At 36.7% G+C, this 20,281-nt stretch overlaps 1 annotated feature.

Moving 5' to 3' along the window:
* Positions 13,483-14,061: an enhancer, noted in NCBI's record as "NANOG hESC enhancer chr5:30845424-30846002 (GRCh37/hg19 assembly coordinates)". NCBI's record gives its function as "activates a minimal SCP1, AML or CMV promoter by ChIP-STARR-seq in naive H9 embryonic stem cells {active_cell/tissue: H9 hESC(naive)}" and the evidence as "EXISTENCE:reporter gene assay evidence [ECO:0000049][PMID:30033119]".

The following is a 20,281-nucleotide window of genomic DNA, read 5'->3' on the forward strand; positions in this document are numbered from 1 at the left end:
GGGATATGAAGTAAGTGTACTCTACTTCTGGAATCAAGGCACAAGTATGTCAAAATATTAGCAACAATTCAAAACAAAATAGAAGCCCTGAGTAACATTATAGAGAATGAAAGCTGTGAGAGTTGAGAGGAGGAGAGGTGAATGTAGACAAATGTGTTCAAAAAGTCTTCAGAGGCTAAAAGGAACACATTTGATTTTTTAAAGAGCAGAGTTAAAATAGAGGAAGAAATTTTTATGTATAATGTTTGATTTCAGTTTATTTTGTTTAAAAATTCCAAGCCAATGTTAGAAGGATTAATTAATTCTAGGCAGGATACTCGGAATTTAAATTGTACTAACTAAAATGGGATGCCCTGTATTAAATCTAGAGAGCCCAGTAACAGTCATCTGAGTCTTATCACTTAGTATACAACTAACCAGTTATGTCTTTTCTATGAAAACATGCATTCATTGAATGATTCAAATATATTTATTAATTCACAAATATAATCAAATGCCATGCACTAGGTTGAAACCGCAGCACACTTTGACAAGTAAAACATGATCTCTGCTTTCATGAATATTTCTCAGTACAATGGGAAAAGTATAAAATAAAAATAATCAACAAATAAATAATAATATTAAAAATGTGTTAAGTGCCAGAAAATAAATGAGTAAGTTTCCATGATGGAAATAAATGCTGAATTGGGAGGGGAAGCAATACTTTAAAAGATTGGAAAAGAAGATGTTTAGAAGGAAAATATTTACCTAAACCTGATGGATGAGGAGACAATTTTGAAAAGAGGTGGGAAGATTATGCATGCAAAGGCCCTAAATTGGGTCTTGTGAAGGTCCCCTAGGAGGGATTGTTTTGGCAAAGGCCCTGAAGTCAGACAGACCTTGGAGGATTTCCAGAACAGTCATGAAGCCAGTGCAGATAAAGCAGAAAAACAGCAGGAGGTCAGGATGTTGGGACTAACAGAGGCTTATTAGATTCAACAATTGTAAGCTTCCTCAATAGATGCAGAAAAGTCCTTCCATAAAATTCAACATCCCTTCATGTTAAAAACTCTCAATAAACTAGGTATTAATGGAACATATCTCAAAATAATGAGAGCCATTTGTGACAAACCCACAGCCAATATCATACTGAATGTGCAAAAGCTTGAAGCATTCCCACTGAAAACCGGCAGAAGAAAAGGAAGCCTTCTCTCACCACCCCCATTCAAAATAGTATTGGAAGTTCTGGCCAGGGAAGTCAGGCAAGAGAAAGAAATAAAGCGTATTCAAATAGGAAGAGAGGAAGTCAAACTGTCTCTGTTTGCAGATGACATGATCCTATATCTAGAAAACCTCAGCCCAAAAGCTCTTTAAGCTGATAAGCAACTTCAGCAAAGTCTCAGGATATAAAATCAATGTGCAAAAATTACATGCATTCCTATACACCAACAATAAACAAGCAGAGAGCCAAATCATGAATGAACTGCCATTCACAGTTGCTACAAAGAGAATAAAATAACATGAGTATAGCTATCATAGGAATACAGCTAACAAGAGAAGTGAAGGGCCTCTTCAATGAGAACTACAAACCACTGCTCAAGGAAAACAGAGAGGACACAAACAAGTGGAAAAACATTCCATGCTCATGGATAGGAAGAATCAATATCACGAAAATGGCCATACTGCCCTAAGTAATTTATAGTTTCAATGCTATTCCCATTCAATTACCATTTTTTTTAATTTGCAGAATTAAAAACAAAATCTACTTTAAAATTCGAATGGAACCAAAAAAGAGCCTGTGTAGCCAAGACAATCCTAAGCAAAAAGAACAAAGCTGCAGGCATCGTGCTACCTGATTTCAAACTACACTACAAGGCTACAGTAACCAAAACAGCATGGTACTGGTACAAAAACAGACAAATAGACCAATGGAACAGAATAGAGACCTCAGAAATAAGACCACACATCTACAGCCATCTGACCTTTGATAAATGTGACAAAAACAAGCAATGGGGAAAGGATTCCCTATTTAATAAATGGTGCTGGGAAACCTAGCTAGGCATATGTGGAAAACTGAAACCAGATCCCTTCTTTATACCTTATACAAACAATGACTCAAGATGGATTAAAGACTTAAATGTAAAACCCAAAACTATAAAAATCCTAGACGAAAATCTAGGCAATACCATTCAGGACATAGGCATGGGCAAAGATTTCATGAAGAAAACGTCTAAAGCAATTGCAACAAAAGCAAAATTTGCCAAATCAGATCTAATTAAACTAAAGAGCTTCTGCACAGCAAAAGAACCAACATCAAAGTGAACAGATAACATGCAGAATGGGAGAAAATTTTGCAATATATCCATGTAACAAAAATCTAATATCCAGAATCTACAAGGAACTTAAGCAAATTTACAAGAAAAAAACAAACAACTCCATTAAAAAGTGAGCAAAGGACGTGAACAGACACTTCTCAAAAGAAGACGTTTATGTCATCAACGAACATATGAAGAAAAGCTCAACATCACTGATCATTAGAGAAATGCAAATCAAAACCACAATGAGATACCATCTCATGCCAGTCAGAATAGTGATTATTAAAAAGTCAAGAAATAACAGATACTGGTGAGGCTGTGGAGAAATGGGAATGCTTTTACAAGGTTGATGGGAACGTAAATTAGTTCAACCATTGGGGAAGATGGTGTGGCAATTCCTCAAAGACCTAGAATCAGAAATACCATTTGACCCAGCAATCCCATTACTGAGTATATTCCCAAAGGAATATAAATCATTCTATTACAACGATACATGCACGCATATGTTCACTGCAGCACTATTCACAATAGCAAAGGCATGGAATCAACCCAAATGTCCATCAATGATAGACTGGTTAAAGAAAAGTGATACCTATACACTATGGAATACTATGAGCCATAAAAAGGAATGAGATCATGTCCTTTGCAGGGACATGGATGGAGCTGGAAGGTATTATCTTCAGCAAACTAACACAGGAACAGAAAACCAAATACCATATATTCTCACTTATAAGTGGGAGCTGAACTATGAGAACACATGGACACAAGGAGGGGAACAACACACACTGGGGTCTGTCAGGAGGTTGGGAGGGAGAGCATTAGGATAAACAGCATGCAGGGCTATCTAGATAATGGGTTGATAGGTGCAGCAAACCACCATGGCACATGTTTACCTATGTAACAAACCTGCACATCCTCTACATGTATCCCAGAACTTAAAGTTAAATTACATTACAAAAATAATTGTAGGCTTAGTGCAATTGGAGATGCATTCAATAAATGGAAGTGGTAACCTCATATGTATGCTATGAAAAGATGACTTTTGTGAGAAGGGAGCCATAAAAGGCAGAATTCAAACCAGAGACTACCACAGTCATCTAAGCAAGGAAGGAAGAGGGCTGAGACTAAAGTTAAGGTACAAAAGTAAATTATTTCAAGGTATGTATTAGAAGTAAAACCAACAGGACTGGCAGGTGGATTGAATGTGGGAGATAAAAAAGAGAGAGGAACCAGGGACTGAACAAATGAGGGAATACTGGTGCCATTTGCTCAGATAAGAAATATTTAGGGAAGATTCGATTCTGAAAGATAAATCAAGAGTTAACTTTTGGCTACTGCTATGGTCTGAATATATGTGCCTTCTGCTCAAATTCAGATGTCAAAACCTAACCCCCAAGATGATGCTATTAGGATGTGGACCTTTGGGAGATATTAAGGTTAGACCTTAGCCTCCTTATGAAAAAGGCCTGAGAGAGCTTCTAAGCTTGTTTTTGCCTTTCTACCAAGTAAGGATACATAGAAGTCACCATCTATGAGAAACTGGCCCTCACCAAACACTAAATCTGCTGGCATCCTGTATCTTGGACTTCCTAGCTTCCAGAAATGTGTGCAATAAATTTCTGTTACTTATAAATTACCCAGTCTAAGGTATTGTTATAGAAGCCCAAATGGACTAAGACAGCCATGTTATTTTTGACATTCCCAAGAGACACAGATATGAAGATGTCATTAAGACTTGTCCTAATCTTGGAAGAGAATTTGAACCAGAAACATTTAATTGGCTTTTTTTTTTTTTTTTTTTGTGGCTATAAAGATAGTACTGACATTTTGGAAACTAGATGGCGTCGTCTAAGTGTACGGTTTAGACAGAAAAAAAGAAGACCTGGAAAAGTGCTAAAAAAAAATGCTAATTTGTAAATGTGTTATAAAAAAGAGGTAGCCAAAAATCCTGACTAAAATGAAGTGACCAGGTAAATAAGGTGAAAACCAGGAGAATACGGTGTCATAAACCTAAAAATTAGAAGTGTTTCAAGGTGAAGAAATGGTAAACCAAGTTAAATGTTGCCAAAAGGTCAAATATGATGAGGATAAAGAACCAGATGACAGGATTTGGCAACCTGGAGGTTCATGATTATCTTGACATTAAGTTTCACTGAAATTGTGGAATTAGAAGCCAAATTTAAATGGATTGATTAGTGAATGAAAATAAATAAATAGATGAAATATGTGAAGACAGCTTTGGGTTTTTATAAGCTTATCTACTTTAGGGAGCAGGAAACTGGGGTTGATGCCTGTATTGTATAGGATTTATTTCTTTTAAGATAAGTGTTTCTAGAGATTGTTTTCTGGTAGAAATTATTAGGCAGAGATAATAAGGCTAATTTAAAAAGCTAGAGTGGATAATGGGAGTGCCCAAAGTCCTTGAGAAGAGGATGTGAAATGCATAAGGGGTTGGCCTTTGATTGGAGGAGGACAGAGCCTGCCTCATCGTAGGAAAGCAAGAGATGACAGATGCATAAAGAGTCAGGCCTGCTGATGAGATCACAGTAAACGAGGAAATCTACTGACAGCTTCTATTGTTTTCAGCAAATTATTAGTTTGAAGAGAAGGGAGAGTGAATGAGGTAGGAAATTTAGGGAAAGAAGAAAAGTGTATCCGTTACAAATGTGTTTGGTTATGGGTATCCTAACATGATTTTGGATTTTTTCTATAGTTGCAGGATGGTTGCTTCAACCTCAACCATTATGTCTTTGTTCCAGAATCAGGAAGGAGGGCATGTAAATAACTTGCCCAGAAACGTCTAGATTTCTATATGTGTAATATTAGCTCAAATAGTCACGTGGCCACTGATTCTGGGAAGAGAGGCTGGGAAATACAAGAGTTTGGCAACACATTTGGCTGCCTTAAAGAAAATCATGGAGTCATTAGTGCTGAGGAAGGAGTGAAGGGATATTGATAAGCAACTAGCAATAAAATGAAGCAATAAAACAGTCATCTGGGAAAGAAAGAAAGAGAGAGAGAGAGACGAGAGAATTTACCAGAAAATCTCAGAAAGATTTCCAGAGATTATTGAGGTTTGGGATGATTAATTTCAAGTCAAATGTGATGGTTTTGCAGTCACTACTAATGAAGATGTGACATCTACTAAAGGCCAGAAAGGCCAAATGCAATGGCTCACACCAATAATCCCAGCACTTTTGGAGGCCAAGACAGGCAGATTGCTTGAGCTCAGGAGTTCAAGACCAGCCTGGGAAACATAGTTAGACCCCCATATCTACAAAAAGTATAAAAATTAACCGGATGTGATGGTGTATGCCTGTAGTCCCAGCTAGTCTGGTGGCTGAAGTGGGAGGATCACTTGAGCCCAGGAGGTCAAGGCTGCAGTGAGCCGTGATTGCACCACTGCACTACAGCCTTGGCAACAGAGTGAGATCCTGTCTCAAAAAAAAAAAACCTGAAGGAAGTGACAAACTGAGGCAAGTGTATATAAAGAGAAGAGCAGTTCAGGTGGAGGAAAGAGCCAGCAGGGAGTGTGACTGATACGCTGGGGCAGAGGGACTGAGGAAAGATCACTACACAATGCAACAAGGGAGATAAAGGGGACCATGTCACCTTGAGTCCTGTAAATTCTTTGGGACTTTGGATTTTACTCTTAAGAGAGTGAAAGGTTTTTGAGGAGAGAAGTCTAATGATTTGGCTATGTGTTATGTTAAACTTAGATTGTAGATTCAAGGGTGGAAGCAGGGAGACCAAGAGGCGATGGCAGTCATCCAACGCAGACATGACAGTAGCTTTAACAAGGATGGTAGCATTGGATGGAGTGAGAAGTGCTCAGATTCTGGATCTGTTTGGAAGGTACAGCCAAGAGTCTCCCAATCGATTGAATGTGGATTCAAGAAAAATAAAGGGTAAAGGATGACTCCAAGGCTTTCCACCTTAACAATAAAAGAAATGGAGATGCCACCAAGTGCAGATAGACAAGGTTTGGCCATGGAGATCAGTCACGCTTATTGCACTTGTTCAGTCTGAGATGTCCATTAGATATGCAAGTGTAGATAATTTACTTTTACATTTCTTTTTATTGATTGAGCCTCTGCAGTATTTGGCACAGGAGGTACTAAAACCATGAAGCCACCTAAGTCACACTCTTTTTTAATGCAGAAGTAAGCACACTTCTTTGATAAAGATCTAATAGTACATATTTGAACAGCCTTTACCATTTCCTTTAGAACTACTCTACCATAATAGTGCGAAAGCAACCCTAGAGAATACACAAACAAATGAGTGTTGCTGTGTTTCAACAAAACTTTATTTATAAACAGAGAGTGACTTGGATTTGATGTGCAGGCTATAGTTTACTGACTCTTGCTTAATGGAAATTTAAGAGAAAAATTTTGAACCCCAAACAAGGTTATATAATCTAGTTTATCTCCAACTGTGGATGTACATAGTCAACAAAATTATTTTAGGTGATACAAAGACTGGCATTAAGTAACCTTAAAAAGCAAAATAATATGCTTATTTACCAATATTATTTATTTGTAATTCTCTATTAATTTATTGAATACATCATGAAAAAGGCTCCATTTGGTAGAGATATGGCTTTAGCAGCAGCTTGATACTTAATCATCTCTCTTTACAATATAAATAGAGAAAGTCTTTGGTCTGAAAGACTTCTTCAAGCTAGAAATGTAGCCAGAGTCTAATAATATTGTTAAGCCTTTATCAAATGTATTCGCCAAATTTCTAGTATCAGTTAATTATGTCCAGTGTCAATAGTGATGTGATGTATTAATGTGATCTTTAATCACATTAAAGATCTTTAAATAGATTTAAGAAAAAAATGTGAATGATTCTCTGAAAATACAAAGTAAAGCATAGTATAGGTGATATTTAAATATAATAAATATCTTAAAGCTGGCCAGTGAAGCACTGCTCTAATTCAACCCTTTCAAATGAAGAGGGGGGAGAGTGGCAGATTGGTTGGTTGGCTTGTACTTTGTTCCCATAGCTTACAAATGACAGGACTAAAATTAGGACCCTTGAATCTCACCCAAGTGCTTTATCCACATCACCAAAATGGCCTGGTTTCCTCATGCTGGAATGGAATTGTACAATTATTAATTAGGTGCTTGCCTAGAAAAACCACTGGGTTAACCTCAAACTGCCATTTCCTTATTAGGTCATAAACAGAAGAGGCAATAGAAAGAGTAACGATTTCTTTTCCGTTCAGATGCATAGTGAGCCTAGAGGTGGATGTGCCACAAAGCTAATGAAGCTGAAATTTTCAGGTTTCTCACCTTTTGAGGCCCTAGCAATGTGTACGCTAAGTCATATGTTTTGTAAAATTTATGAAAATAAAAGTTTGTGCATGTCTTCTTATATAAAACTTTCAAAACTCTATATGCTTCGGCCTCTACAAAACCCAGATCTGCTTCCATGTGTGTTCAAATCCCATGACAATTTCATTCCAATTTCAAAAAAATAAAAGGTTCTATCAGCCAAATAACAAACTTACTCTTTATTCTTTCTTTATCAATCATTTTTGGAAAATTGTAAAATATTGAGCTCAGTAATAGATATCATGATCTCTGTGAGAACAAGGAATTCAATTCAGTTCAATCTCTGTTTAGTGTTAGTCTAGAATGTCCTCTCCAAGACATCTAGGTAGCTCTCTGTTTTGCCCCAGGGTTTTATGCCACTTTCTGCTCAAATGTCCTTCCCTGAAGAATCCTCCCTAAACACTTTATCTAAAGTAGCATCCCTCAACCCTGTCTCCTTACATGGTGTTATTTTTGTCATTATATTTATGACCACTAACATATTTCATATCATTTGTTTATATGGGTGTTGTCTATCTCCCTCCTCCCCACATCCCTCCTGCCAACGGAAATATCATGCACGAAGAGTCTTCATCTGTTTTATTTTATTGCTGCAACACCAATGTCTAGAATAGTCACTTGTATACTAGAGAATATAAATAGAAAATTGTGCAGTAGATAAGTATTTATAGAACACTTACTCTGTGTCAGGGCTGTGCTAAGCACTGGGGATTCAGCAGTGGTATTCTCATCATAGATGCTAATAATTAATGGCTGGTGCAGTGAGTACTTCAAACACAGAGTTGCAGGTGCTAATGGGGTATATACCAAGACTATTGGCATAGCCTACTGAAGTATGAAAGACCTCTCTGAGACAGCGATGGGTATTTTATATGACTCCAGAGGCCTGTGACCTATGTGTGGTTATTACATTCAAGGGAAAGAAAAAATTAGGTCCTCTTTCAGCTCATTATAAGTAGAAACTTTCTTAGTAGTAGAAAAATGCCACCACGCCAAAAGAAATGTGCTGCCTAGATATATACTGAATTTTCCATATAACAAGAAATATTCAGACAAGCTGTCAGATCACTTGATACAATAAATAAAGGGTTAGATTAGTTGATCTTGAATTTATCTACTAACTCAAGGAGCCTATAATTAATTACTTTATTCTTTCATTACATAAATATTTATTAAGTACCTACTAAATGTCAGACATTGAAAAGCTAAAACTCAGAGTGTTGTCTCTGTGAATAAAGAATGTCATAACTGGACTCATCTCTTCCTCTGTTGCTATATTTCAGCTCACAGACAACTGCCAGCTAATCTCCAGACGCATCAAGGCTCAAAATATTCAGCAATTCCCCTGCCCAAAAAGCAATCCAAACCCCTTACCTGGCATTAAAAGCCTGCTATTCTTGGCCCTAAACATTTCCCAGTACTCATCAACTCTGCCCTGTGCTGCAATTCTGTTTATTACTCAGAAGCACATAGGAAGGCATATTCCTCTACACTTTTGTTTATAAACCTTCCTCAGCTTTTGCTTTTCCCAGGCCCTTACAGTTATTCAGAAAATCCTCCGTCTGGGAGTATCAGCCCTTCCTAGTGCCAGAACTAAATATGGACAATCCCTTATATGATGTAGATGTTGCAAGTGGGTTGGGAATAAAAGAGCTCCTCATGTAAAATGAGCCTCTACTGTGGGATCCTAAAGTTCAGGCTTCTTGGGCCTTTTACAGTGATGATCATGTGATAAAGCTTCCACCTCAATCTTTTGTTTGAGTTCCACTTCCTTATTAATACTAGAGTTCTGCTCTGAGCTCTGGCTTTCTTGGCTGGGGCTCTGATCCATGGCCCAATTCTTGTCAGCATCCATCTAAGGCAGACTGGGCTCCTGGGTCCCAATTCCCTCATCCATAGCTGCTGGGCTTGGACTCCACCTAAGGTGGGCTGAGATAAATCTGTGTGGTGGGGATCTACAGATGGGAGCTCAGCTGGGCAGAGATGTCACCTGGAATGAATGAATGTAGCTGTGCCAAAGAGACCACTAACATGGAGAGAGAAGGGGCAGTAAATGGAGCCAAAAACTGCCAAAGAAATGGAGGCATTCAGAAGCTAATTAGGTACTAGGAAATGATCTGGTAGGTAAAGCCATGTGGGGAAACAGAGCGAGACAGAGTGAGCGCCTTGCCATGATGAGGTCTGGTGTGCCCAGTTTGTCTGTTGGTGGGTGCCAGCTTCACAACTCATTGGTAATTTAGAAGAGGACGCAAGGTGAACAGCTGGTCTTGTTCCAAAGTGGATTGATCATCCTGAAACAAAAAGCTGACATCTGTGATCAGTGAACAGCACAACTGCCTGGAAAACTCAGTTGACTTTCTTCTTAGACATCAGACTCACCTCTAAATAGGTTCATGTTATCCATGCCACACCCTTGGATTTAGAGTTTGACTGATAGTCATTCCACCCAGAGGTAAATCCTGTTGCAGGGCCAGTTTCTGCAGCCTCAACTCCAGCATTCTCCTGTTCTTTGAATGTTTGCTGCCAAAAATGTATTTGCCTTGAGATCAAGCCTGCACCAGTAGGACAGCATATTTCACCCTATTCATCTGAAAAGTCCTCCTCTATCTTTCTGCTTCTCTTCTGTCTTCAAGATCTAACTCAAATCTTGTCTCCTCCAAGTCACTGGAACCATCCCCAAGAGATCTTTCCATCTACTGAATAGTATAATCCCATTTTACAATATCCACTGAGCATCTTTCATTTATATAACACTTGCTATATGCCAGCTGCTAGGTGTTTTATAAATATCAACTCATTTAATCTTTCTAGTAGCCTTATGAGGTAAGTATTATTACAATCCCAATTTTGCAGATAAAGAACTGGGTCACAGACAGCTTAAGTAACTTGCTCAGAGATCCCCAGTTAGTAAGACCCAGCTGGAATTTGAACTGAGACAATTTGGCTTCAGAATTCATGCCCTGAACTACCTTCCATTCTAGGGTGCTCCTCAGATTATGCTGAACTTGATTTGCAGACTGTACTAGCTGTAAATACACAAAAAGTAAAGACTAGATCTGCGGCTTTTTGAAGGTAGGGGTTGTGTATTTACCGCTTCAGTGTCAGGGCTTTATATATGTTACACATGTATCTATCCACAGGCATATACTCTTTAAATACATTCATACATACTTTATGCATATAAGACATCAAGAAATGTTTACTGGTTATGGTGATATTGAAAATAATGTTGATGGAATTAAAGATAGCTCAGATATATCCATGGATTAATTAGCTCTTATAATCACATGCAATCAAGAGTAAGATGTCCCTGAATAATTCAGCTAACCTATTTATTTTTCTTTGAAACATCCAAGTGATTTGCACAAGCCACCTTCTATTTCTACAGGCCTCTTATAAATCAGTATACTAACACCTTGGGATGACATGTCCATGAAAAGTGCTAGAGAGAATGAAATTTGATATCTTTCCCGCTTGACAGATAACTAACTTATAAATAAACCGTAATTCCCCCTAAAGGAGAAAAGGCCTAGCTTTGGCCAACCCACGAATTACAGGATATATATTGTTTTACCACCACTGACAGTTGCCACTCTTGTGATTTCCAGAAGCTTGTCTATTCCTCTTGAGTAGAGTAATTCTACAGCAGAGTAAAAGGAGCAAAAATGTAAAATAGCTTGACACTGAAGGATCAAATGTCTCCTAGCAAAGTCCCAAAGAATAGATTTGGAGTTTTCCTTCATGAAAACTGTAAAATGAAATTATAAGCAATAGGCAATTTTCAGGTTGTCAAATATCCATAATCATTATTATTTCTGAACTTAATACAATGTGTTATGATTATTGTTGCTTTTCTGCCCGAAAATATTATACATTTCCACTTAAACATACATTTTATAGTTATGAAAACCCACTAAAAATGATGTAGTCAAATTTCAAAATTAGGGGTTTTTTAACTTCTAATATGTAGTTTCCAATCCCTTAGAAAAAGCTATTATAAGGCTATCATAAGGATTTTTTTTCCTATTATGAATGCTGAAATATTTAAACATCTGAAAGAAATACGCAAATGTTTCTATGTAAAAAGAAACACTGTTCTTTGGAAAACATGAATTATATAAACTATAATTAGAGCTTCAAAACTGCAAGTGTTTAAACTAAGATTACAAATTGCTGTGTTAAAAAGATACTGAGACGCTCAGGGGGAAAATAATTAAATGCCGACTAACTAAATTAATTCTCCCACATCCCAAGCTGTTCTATCTCCCTTATGCCTTTCCCTCTGCCATCACTGATGATCACGTACGTATCTGTTAGAACCTGCTTCTATAATGAATTCAAGTTACAATGAATTCAGGTTTGATTTGCCTCCTTTTCTTACCATTATAGTTGGCAGTGTCGACTTGAAAGTATTCATTTCTATTAATAATCTTCAACTAAATATAGTGTACTGGAAAAAGTAAACTGAAATAGTTAAAAAAAAATGCAATTGAATTCTATGTTTCAAACTAAACTAGAACTTGTTATTTTTTTAAAAAAATAAAATGAGTTTTGTGTGTTTTGGGGAGCACAGAGTAAAGATCTGGAAATTAATTGAATTTCATTAGCCTAGATTCATACCACTAATATATATGAAAGTATGGTCAGGGGTATGAGCAGAATGAGGCTTGAATTGTCTAAAAGTATCTCTCTAAATCTAAACAATGTGCACTTACACAGATAACTACCAAATTATTATTTATTTGGGGCTGCCTGGTCTATTTTCCTACAATAATATTTCAGCTCTATTTTAAAGTAAAACTTCAGGTTAATTTAAAAAATCCAAAAATGATTGAAAATCTCCATATGCACATTAACTAGCCATATGACTATACAGTTAAATATTTTGGTTTGGAGCTGCAAAACTAGTGCCCTCTGCATTTATTTCTAAAAAGCCATTATACTTTATAGTTGAGAGACCACAGGAGTTCATTTAATTCTGTTACACTGCCAAAATATACTTTAAAGAAAAAAATCATGGCTAATTGTGGGAATGAAGCTATGTGATCAGTTTTCTCTGAACTAGAATCAATGCATGCTTCAACATCTGATTTCCTAAACTCAGTTGCCACTGAGGATGCTTTAAGCACACTGTAAACACATGTCACAACTTTACATCACAGGCGGCTTTAAACCTAAATTCTCCATCCATATTACCTCCAAAAATATAGTATACTTTTAATCCATTACTAGAGCAATGGCGCCTAAAAACAAAAGCCCTTTTTAAACAATGGGACACACCCTTTAGCAGACTGAATGGATTGGGGTAATGATGGAGGCAGACCAAGAAACCAAAGAAAACATGGAAGAGAACAAGATAATTGAAACAACTGTGCTGCATATTCCTGACTTAGGGCGGACAGATATTACTCATGAGAATGTTTAAAGAGTTTGAAGTATTTAGTCTATATTGTTAAGTAAAAAAGGCATTTGGCATTTGTCTCCAGGCTTTTGAATCCTTAATCACTGAATGAAGATGACTAATATGTCATGGACATTGACTGAGTGATCTACATGAAATTAACCTTCTCCTGGAATAACATGTCAAGGTACCACAAAGCAAAAGGTGGGAGAAGAACCAATAATGAGTTTTGAACTGACTGAGAATAAAGAAGCGCTGGGTTAATTCTTGTTTTAATAAGCTGTTGTGAAATTTAAAAGATTGGCACCCCCCCTCCACAATCACACATGCAAAGTTTTAAAAATATTATTATCCTAGTTATCAGGAGTAGTTCTTTATCCATTACAATTCAAAGTTCAGAAAGGAGAGACACATCTTTCTTTGTACTCTTCTCAGTGTCTACCATAGGAGGGTTTAGTCCCAGTAGATACCCAATTAGAAATGCTCGCTTCCTTATATCACTCATCAATAGGGAATGCTGGGGTTCTTCCATTTCTAAGTCACTTTTAGATGTTTCCTATTAACATAACACTGGGCGTTACTGTAAAGTACCAGTAAAAGGATAGTGGGAAGAAAGTAATTGTTACCTACACATTAATAAACTTAGGATTGTACCTAAAAAGATGACTCATTAAACCAGAAAGTTTTTCTAAATATTGCCTATGTTGAAGTAAGATACATATACCCTAGCACCCTAGGCACCCTGCTGGTCTGTAGGAAAACAATTTGTTTGAAGAGTGCTCTTCCCCCAGTGTTGTAGCACAGGTTTACAAGATACCAATCAGGGTTAAGTAGCACCAGTCAAGAATCAATTTTCCTGGTTTAACATATGCCCAAAATGTTTACTGTCACTCTGAATTTATATTCACTCTTTGGAAGTATTTGCAATGGAATCTGGCACACTGAGCAACTGTAGAAAATATAACAGGGTTATAAGATGGCAATTTTATGGAAATCCAGTTATTAAATCAGATTTATTAAAAGTGCACTTACAGAAAAAGATTATAATGATTATAGAAAAATCTTGATCCATTTGTGTTAATAATTTGTGTTAGGAAGCCTTTTAGCAATTCAGTGAGTGGCACTATTATACAAAAAAAAATTTCTAGAGTCTACATTGAAAAATATGAGAACCTTCCATATATTAAAAATAATGGAGAATATTCCTATAAAAGTACAACTTTTTCACAACAAAGAGGAGAATGTATATGAAGAGGTGCTTCTTCCTTCATCTCAACATCACCACTTCTTTGATATTGATTTTTTTCACTTAATCTCTATAGGCTAAAAGACAATCTGAGTTTTGTTCTCACTTTCCCTCCAAAGTATGCAGAAATTCACAGCTTTGATAGTACTTTATTGAATTTACCTTATCCCTACAGCTAAATAGTCACTATGCATATTTTTGTGAGCATCCACAAAATCACTACAACCTAGTCTACATAATTTGGTTGTGACTCACACAGCTTTCCCCCAGCCTGCTGAACTACCTTTCAAGATACCAGTCTTTTCCTTTTTCTTTTTAATATGTATGTTCTTCAGGCAATGACTTTTGAAATTTTCTAAGCTTCCTCCCAATTCTTAGCCTTATCATATCAAAGAAAAGAGTTGAGATTTTTTTCACTGGAGGCTTTTTCAACAGATACTTGGAAATTTATGATCCCATAATTGATCTGGGCTCAACTGCATAGTGCCAAAATCTAATAAATAATAATGCCTAAATGTATATAATATCTCATAGCTTACAATGCACCTTCACAAATATTATTTTATTTGATCATCACAAAATCCTCTGCAGTGGGTAGCGCAGATATAATCACCGTTTTATGTGTGTCAAGTAAAGTCATGATGTGATGCAATGGCAGATTTGAAAATAGAAGCCACTTCTAAAATTTTTGTCTCCCATCTACTTTTCCCTAATACACTTAGCTCCTATTATACATGGGGAACTGCATAAATATCTGTCATGTCTTACTTTGATATGTTTATACATTCTAGTACCGAGATATGAGGATCTGTGGTGTTATTCAAATAAATTAGTAAATAAAGATTTTATATCTTCTGAAGTTGGTGATATATAAAGAATGAAAAGCAATTCATCTTCCCCCAGTATAATTAATGTTTCAAATGGCAAAACTAATGAGAAAATTTATTTTCAAACTATAAATATTTAGTATAAGGCCTTGTTCTCCAAGTTCCAGTTTTGCATTTACTTGTGATACAATAAATCAACATTATAAAACTTCATACTACTGAAAAAATACATCCAGTGTGTAATTTTGGTGAAGGAAGATTTCCATGTAGCTTTTCAGTTTTTGATGCTTTAAATATTTTAACATTATACACAAGTATATGACATATGATTCTCATCCTTTATACCTTACCATGAAAGTTCAGTGTTAATATTATGGAAAAAAATTATACTTAGGTATAAATATTGTCAAAAATCACTGGCTGAGTGCAAATGGGAAATCACCAGCAAAGCAACGTACGGCTTATTCAGATGAGGAACAGTCAGGAATCATACATAATGCAGCAGTGAGCATCAGCAAACAACAGACCCAGAAGATCATCCCCACCAGAGTTGGACAAAACTCAGAAAAATCCACCTGGTAAACAAAACCCAATAGTTTCCAGTTATCTTGTAAGTCCAGACAGGTCTTAGTTGAAGCCAAGTGTTCATATTCAAATCTGAGACCAAGGAAGAAAGAGCCACACGCAAAAAAATAATAAGTACAATTTGGCTCCCCATCCCCTAACTCGATGAGAGCTTATCAGGCCAAAGGGATAGAGAAGTGCACAATTATCCGGTAAATTAGTTTTGATCAAGAGAGTCAATCTGGATAATTGAGGCCTTGTGATTCACTTCCACTTGAATCATCCTGAACACATTCAATATAATATATAATTATGCAACTCTCTTCTTCAGCTCCTAGTCATGGATTCATTGCTAAAAATGTGCATTAGGGTTGTGAGAGTATATTAATATGGGGTGATTATAGACCTCCTCAAAGCTAACTTCTTTTGTGTTATTTCTGAGCTTCTGGTTTCACATGGTGTCTTGTCTTGTCTGTCTCTATATTAAGGGAAAAACTCAAATGTTAATAAAAGACTGAGAATTGAATTAAGCCAGTCTTCTCTCTACCAAATATATCTAGATTGATTTTACATTGCTTTGATGCATCTAATTAGTCATATTTCAAATATAGAAATGAAAAGATATTTTCATGCAGTAGACATTACAGATCCCTCCAAAACTGAGTTCAGAAATGATTTACTGACCTTGTATATATCTGGACTCTATCACATTTACTTGGCATGTTCTTAAAATTTTTCCCCAAAATGGCTTAGCATTTTTCTTCAGAAAAAGAAGCAGAGCAAGGGAGGAATAAAAGTCTAGTCTGTTCATTTGGGATGAGTCAGAAGTCAACACGCCACAATAAAGACGACTTTATGCTATTTCTCAGTGGAAAGAAGTGTTCAGAAGATATCCCAATGAGAATCCATCTCTGTAGGTTTCATGGCAACACTGAAAATTTTATTATTTCTGCAGGCTTTCTTCTATATACAAGTATTAAATACCTCAAAACTTGGACTTAAACCATTTAATTATGAAGGTCAGAAAAGATTACTTATCATTATTATTATTATTGGAACACATTCTCTGAGGCTGTGATTATGTTTTTTGAGAATAATTTTAGTTAGCTTTTTGAATCAATGACTTGTTTTTAATTAATTTTTGTTTTTATAGTTCAACAAATATTGAGCACATGACATGTGTTAGATGCAGTAATATGTGCTGGAGATGTAAAAATGAATACAATCTCATCTCTAACCTCAAGAAACCAAAACACACAGCAAAACACACAGGCACACACACACACACTTTTCAACAAAGTGAAACAATGGTTTGCATAAGGTACCATCAAAGAACACATGAGGGGAAATATACTAGGTTGAGGTGGGGATAGTGAGAGATCACGGAGCTCAGGAAGCCTCCTTAGAATAGATAAAGCACGAGACTTGTCTTGAAGCGCAAATCAATATTCTCCAACAAACAGAAGTACAAGGCTGGCATTTGCAGGAACCTGAGAGCAACAGCCCCTCAAATTGTGTGCCCCTCTCTTACCTACCCTACTTTGGAGGCTCAGAAAGAAGAAAACACTTTACATCACGTTGGTTTAAAATAGATTTCATAGAAATATTATTCAAAATAATTATTAAATATACATTCTCAAATAACTTGAATTGTTTAATGTGCTATATTGTAGCTAAACTCACTGGAAAATATAGACTTGCAGTGCTAGATTTCTTCTTGCTCTATTCATGATCTTAAATAAATATACCTGCGGGGGGCCCTCTTCTCATTCCAATATATAGAGTAGGGACCCAATCATTCACCTGATTGTCAGAGAAAAGGAACATGCGGCGGGCGTGGTAGCTCACGCCTGTAATCCCAGCACTTTGGGAGGCCAAGGCCGGCGGATCACCTGAGTTCAGGAGTTGGAGACCAGCTTGGCCAAGATGGCAAAACCCCGTCACTACTAAAAATACAAAAATTAGCCCAGCGTGGTGGCACGCACCTGTAATCCCAGCTTCTTAGGAGGTTGGGGCAGGAGACTTGCTTGAACCGGGGAGGCGGAGGTTGCAGTGAGCCGAGATCACGCCACTGCACTCCAACCTGGGCAACAACAGCGAAACTCCAACTCAAAAAAAAAAAGAAAGAAAGAAAGAAAAGAAAAGGGACATGCACATACTGTTTGCTATTGCTATTTTTCAGAAACAGAATTTCTAAAATCTTAAAATTGGTAATTCCTTGGGACATGGTATAATTTACCATCCAACCCCGAACACTTTTGAGAATGAAAAGAAAGTGCTATTTATCATTTTACTGCAACAATAGGCATAAACCACGACTGTTTCAGGCAAACCAGGATGCATGGCTACCCTAATTATTCCCACTATTATCATCAACTAAAGAACTATGCAAAACTCAGCAGCAGCTTTTAAAACAAAGGAAAATTCCTCCTCAACATCACCACACCAGAAGCTTAGAACCAAGCAGAGACATTCTTTTACCTTGACCTCAAACAGCATGGATTCTCGGTGATGTCTGTCTGTGTACTACTTTCCCAGACACGGAAGTCATGACCACAAACTTGGATGTGTTTTGACTGTCCCTCCTCAACCACTCATGCGAATCAACAAAGGGTAGTCCGGGGGAATTAACCTCACACAAACAGATATGTCTGAATAGGTCACAGAAGACCATGCTGTGGAGGGCTGCTTTCACTTAGTCTGTTGGAGAATATTGACTTTGAGCTACTCACTTCCTTCAGCAAAAATTTTTCTTTCATTTGTCACTCTGACCCATCTCAGCTGGGTCATTTTTTTTTAAAGATGTTAAAGTTAAAAAGGAACTCTTGTTGCTTATATAAGAAAGAAAACAAAGGTGGGGGAAAATAAACTCCAAACTCAAAACAGGTTATTTGAAGAATCTTCTCCTTCAGTAACTTTAGATATTTAAAAGGAGAACTAGGGTCAAAGATGAGTGCAAAGTAAAGAAGCAATTTAGATAGTACTCTTAGCCAACTTCTTGCTACTCCTCCCTTTTTTACCCATTGACTGCCTCTTTGATATCAGTCTTCGTTCTTCGATCATCCACTCCCTCTTGATAACAAGGGAACTCCAGCTGATATAGAAAGCTCTAATATTGACTACAAGACATTTTCTCTCTTTATTTCAAGGGGAACATGGAAATAGTGTACCCAAAGGTGATCATAAGTAATTAGGATTTCTCTACCATCTCCCACAGGACCCACTGAGTTGGCTTTACCCTGCAGTTGAATTATTGCCTCCTGAACACCATGTTTCACTTTAATTATTCGGCATTAATTCAGAACCTCAGGTTTTTCACATACTGGAGAAATAAGAATGAATTAGGCATGTTTTATGCCATCAACGGAGTTTCTTGTAATCACTTCGGGGGATAAAATGATCAGGGGTTCCTATTTCCTAGACTTTCCTGCCACAAAGCAGGAATATCCCATCACACAATGTGTCAACTAGATATGAAATTGAAAGTCTAGCAATTCTCAACATTGCCCTAGGGAGACAATCCACCAAAGGCCAGACTGCAGCAGCATAGTCACCATTTGCTGTGCTAAATATCATTAACTACTATGATATCACTCTGAAAATCATCTATGCTTTCAAGTTTTTATGCAGTCATCTCACAGCTATGTATTCTAACTCATTTATAATGATAGTGTATCATTAACTGATTGTTTAGAAGCCCCCTGGTAAAAAATATTTTCTCCTCCTAAAAATTTGTTAGGAAAAGTAATCTCAGAGCTGAAGTTTACAAATTCAATTTTGCTTAAATAATTGTTTTCATTTAGCTTATATTTTATCGTGCTTATTTTTTTAAAATAAGTGATTTGTTTACATAGTTGAAAAACCGAAAGAAAATAGAAATATGTATAATAAGAGGATGCCTTCCACCTTGTTCCCTCATCTAATTCCCATCCTTTTAAATACACACGGTTACCACTGTTATTTGTTGTGTATGTCCTTGTCATATGCTTATACAAGCAATGCAAACATATATTTTTAATTATTCACTCATTTTTAACTTAAACATTAGCAGAAAATACAACTTTTCTCACTTCAAGGGTTGGTTTATTAGTTCTATAATTTCTCTTTTTATATTCATTAATCCCTGATTTGTATCTTTTTCTATTCTTTCTAATTTTCCTCATATTAATTTGCTATCCCCGTTTTTCCTTTTTGAGTTGAAGGTTGTCACAGAGACTATAAACTGGCCGCCAAATTCTCTCTCCTGTTCTTCCTGAGTTACCTTATTCAACTCTATACTTCCCAGTCTCCATAGCAGTTAGGAATGCCCATATGAGCGATCAAACCAATGGAAAATGAAGGAAAGTGATGAGATCTTTCTCAGGGCAGGCTTTTAAAAAGAGTTTGCATCTCCTCTGTGGTTCTTCCCTATTTGCTGGCTGCAAGCAGGTGATGATTAAATCCTAGGATATAAAAGTCTAGACGCCTGAACTGCTGCACTTAGAAGAGTCTCCACTGACCAGTAACCTCTACCTGGATCTATTACATAAGCAAGACATAAACTTCTTTGTTATTTGATTCTACTTACATTTTGTATACCTGTCAGTATAGACAGTATGTTTAGCTCT

This window comes from Homo sapiens, chromosome 5, assembly GCF_000001405.40.
Source record: "Homo sapiens chromosome 5, GRCh38.p14 Primary Assembly".
Taxonomy (NCBI): domain Eukaryota; kingdom Metazoa; phylum Chordata; class Mammalia; order Primates; family Hominidae; genus Homo; species Homo sapiens.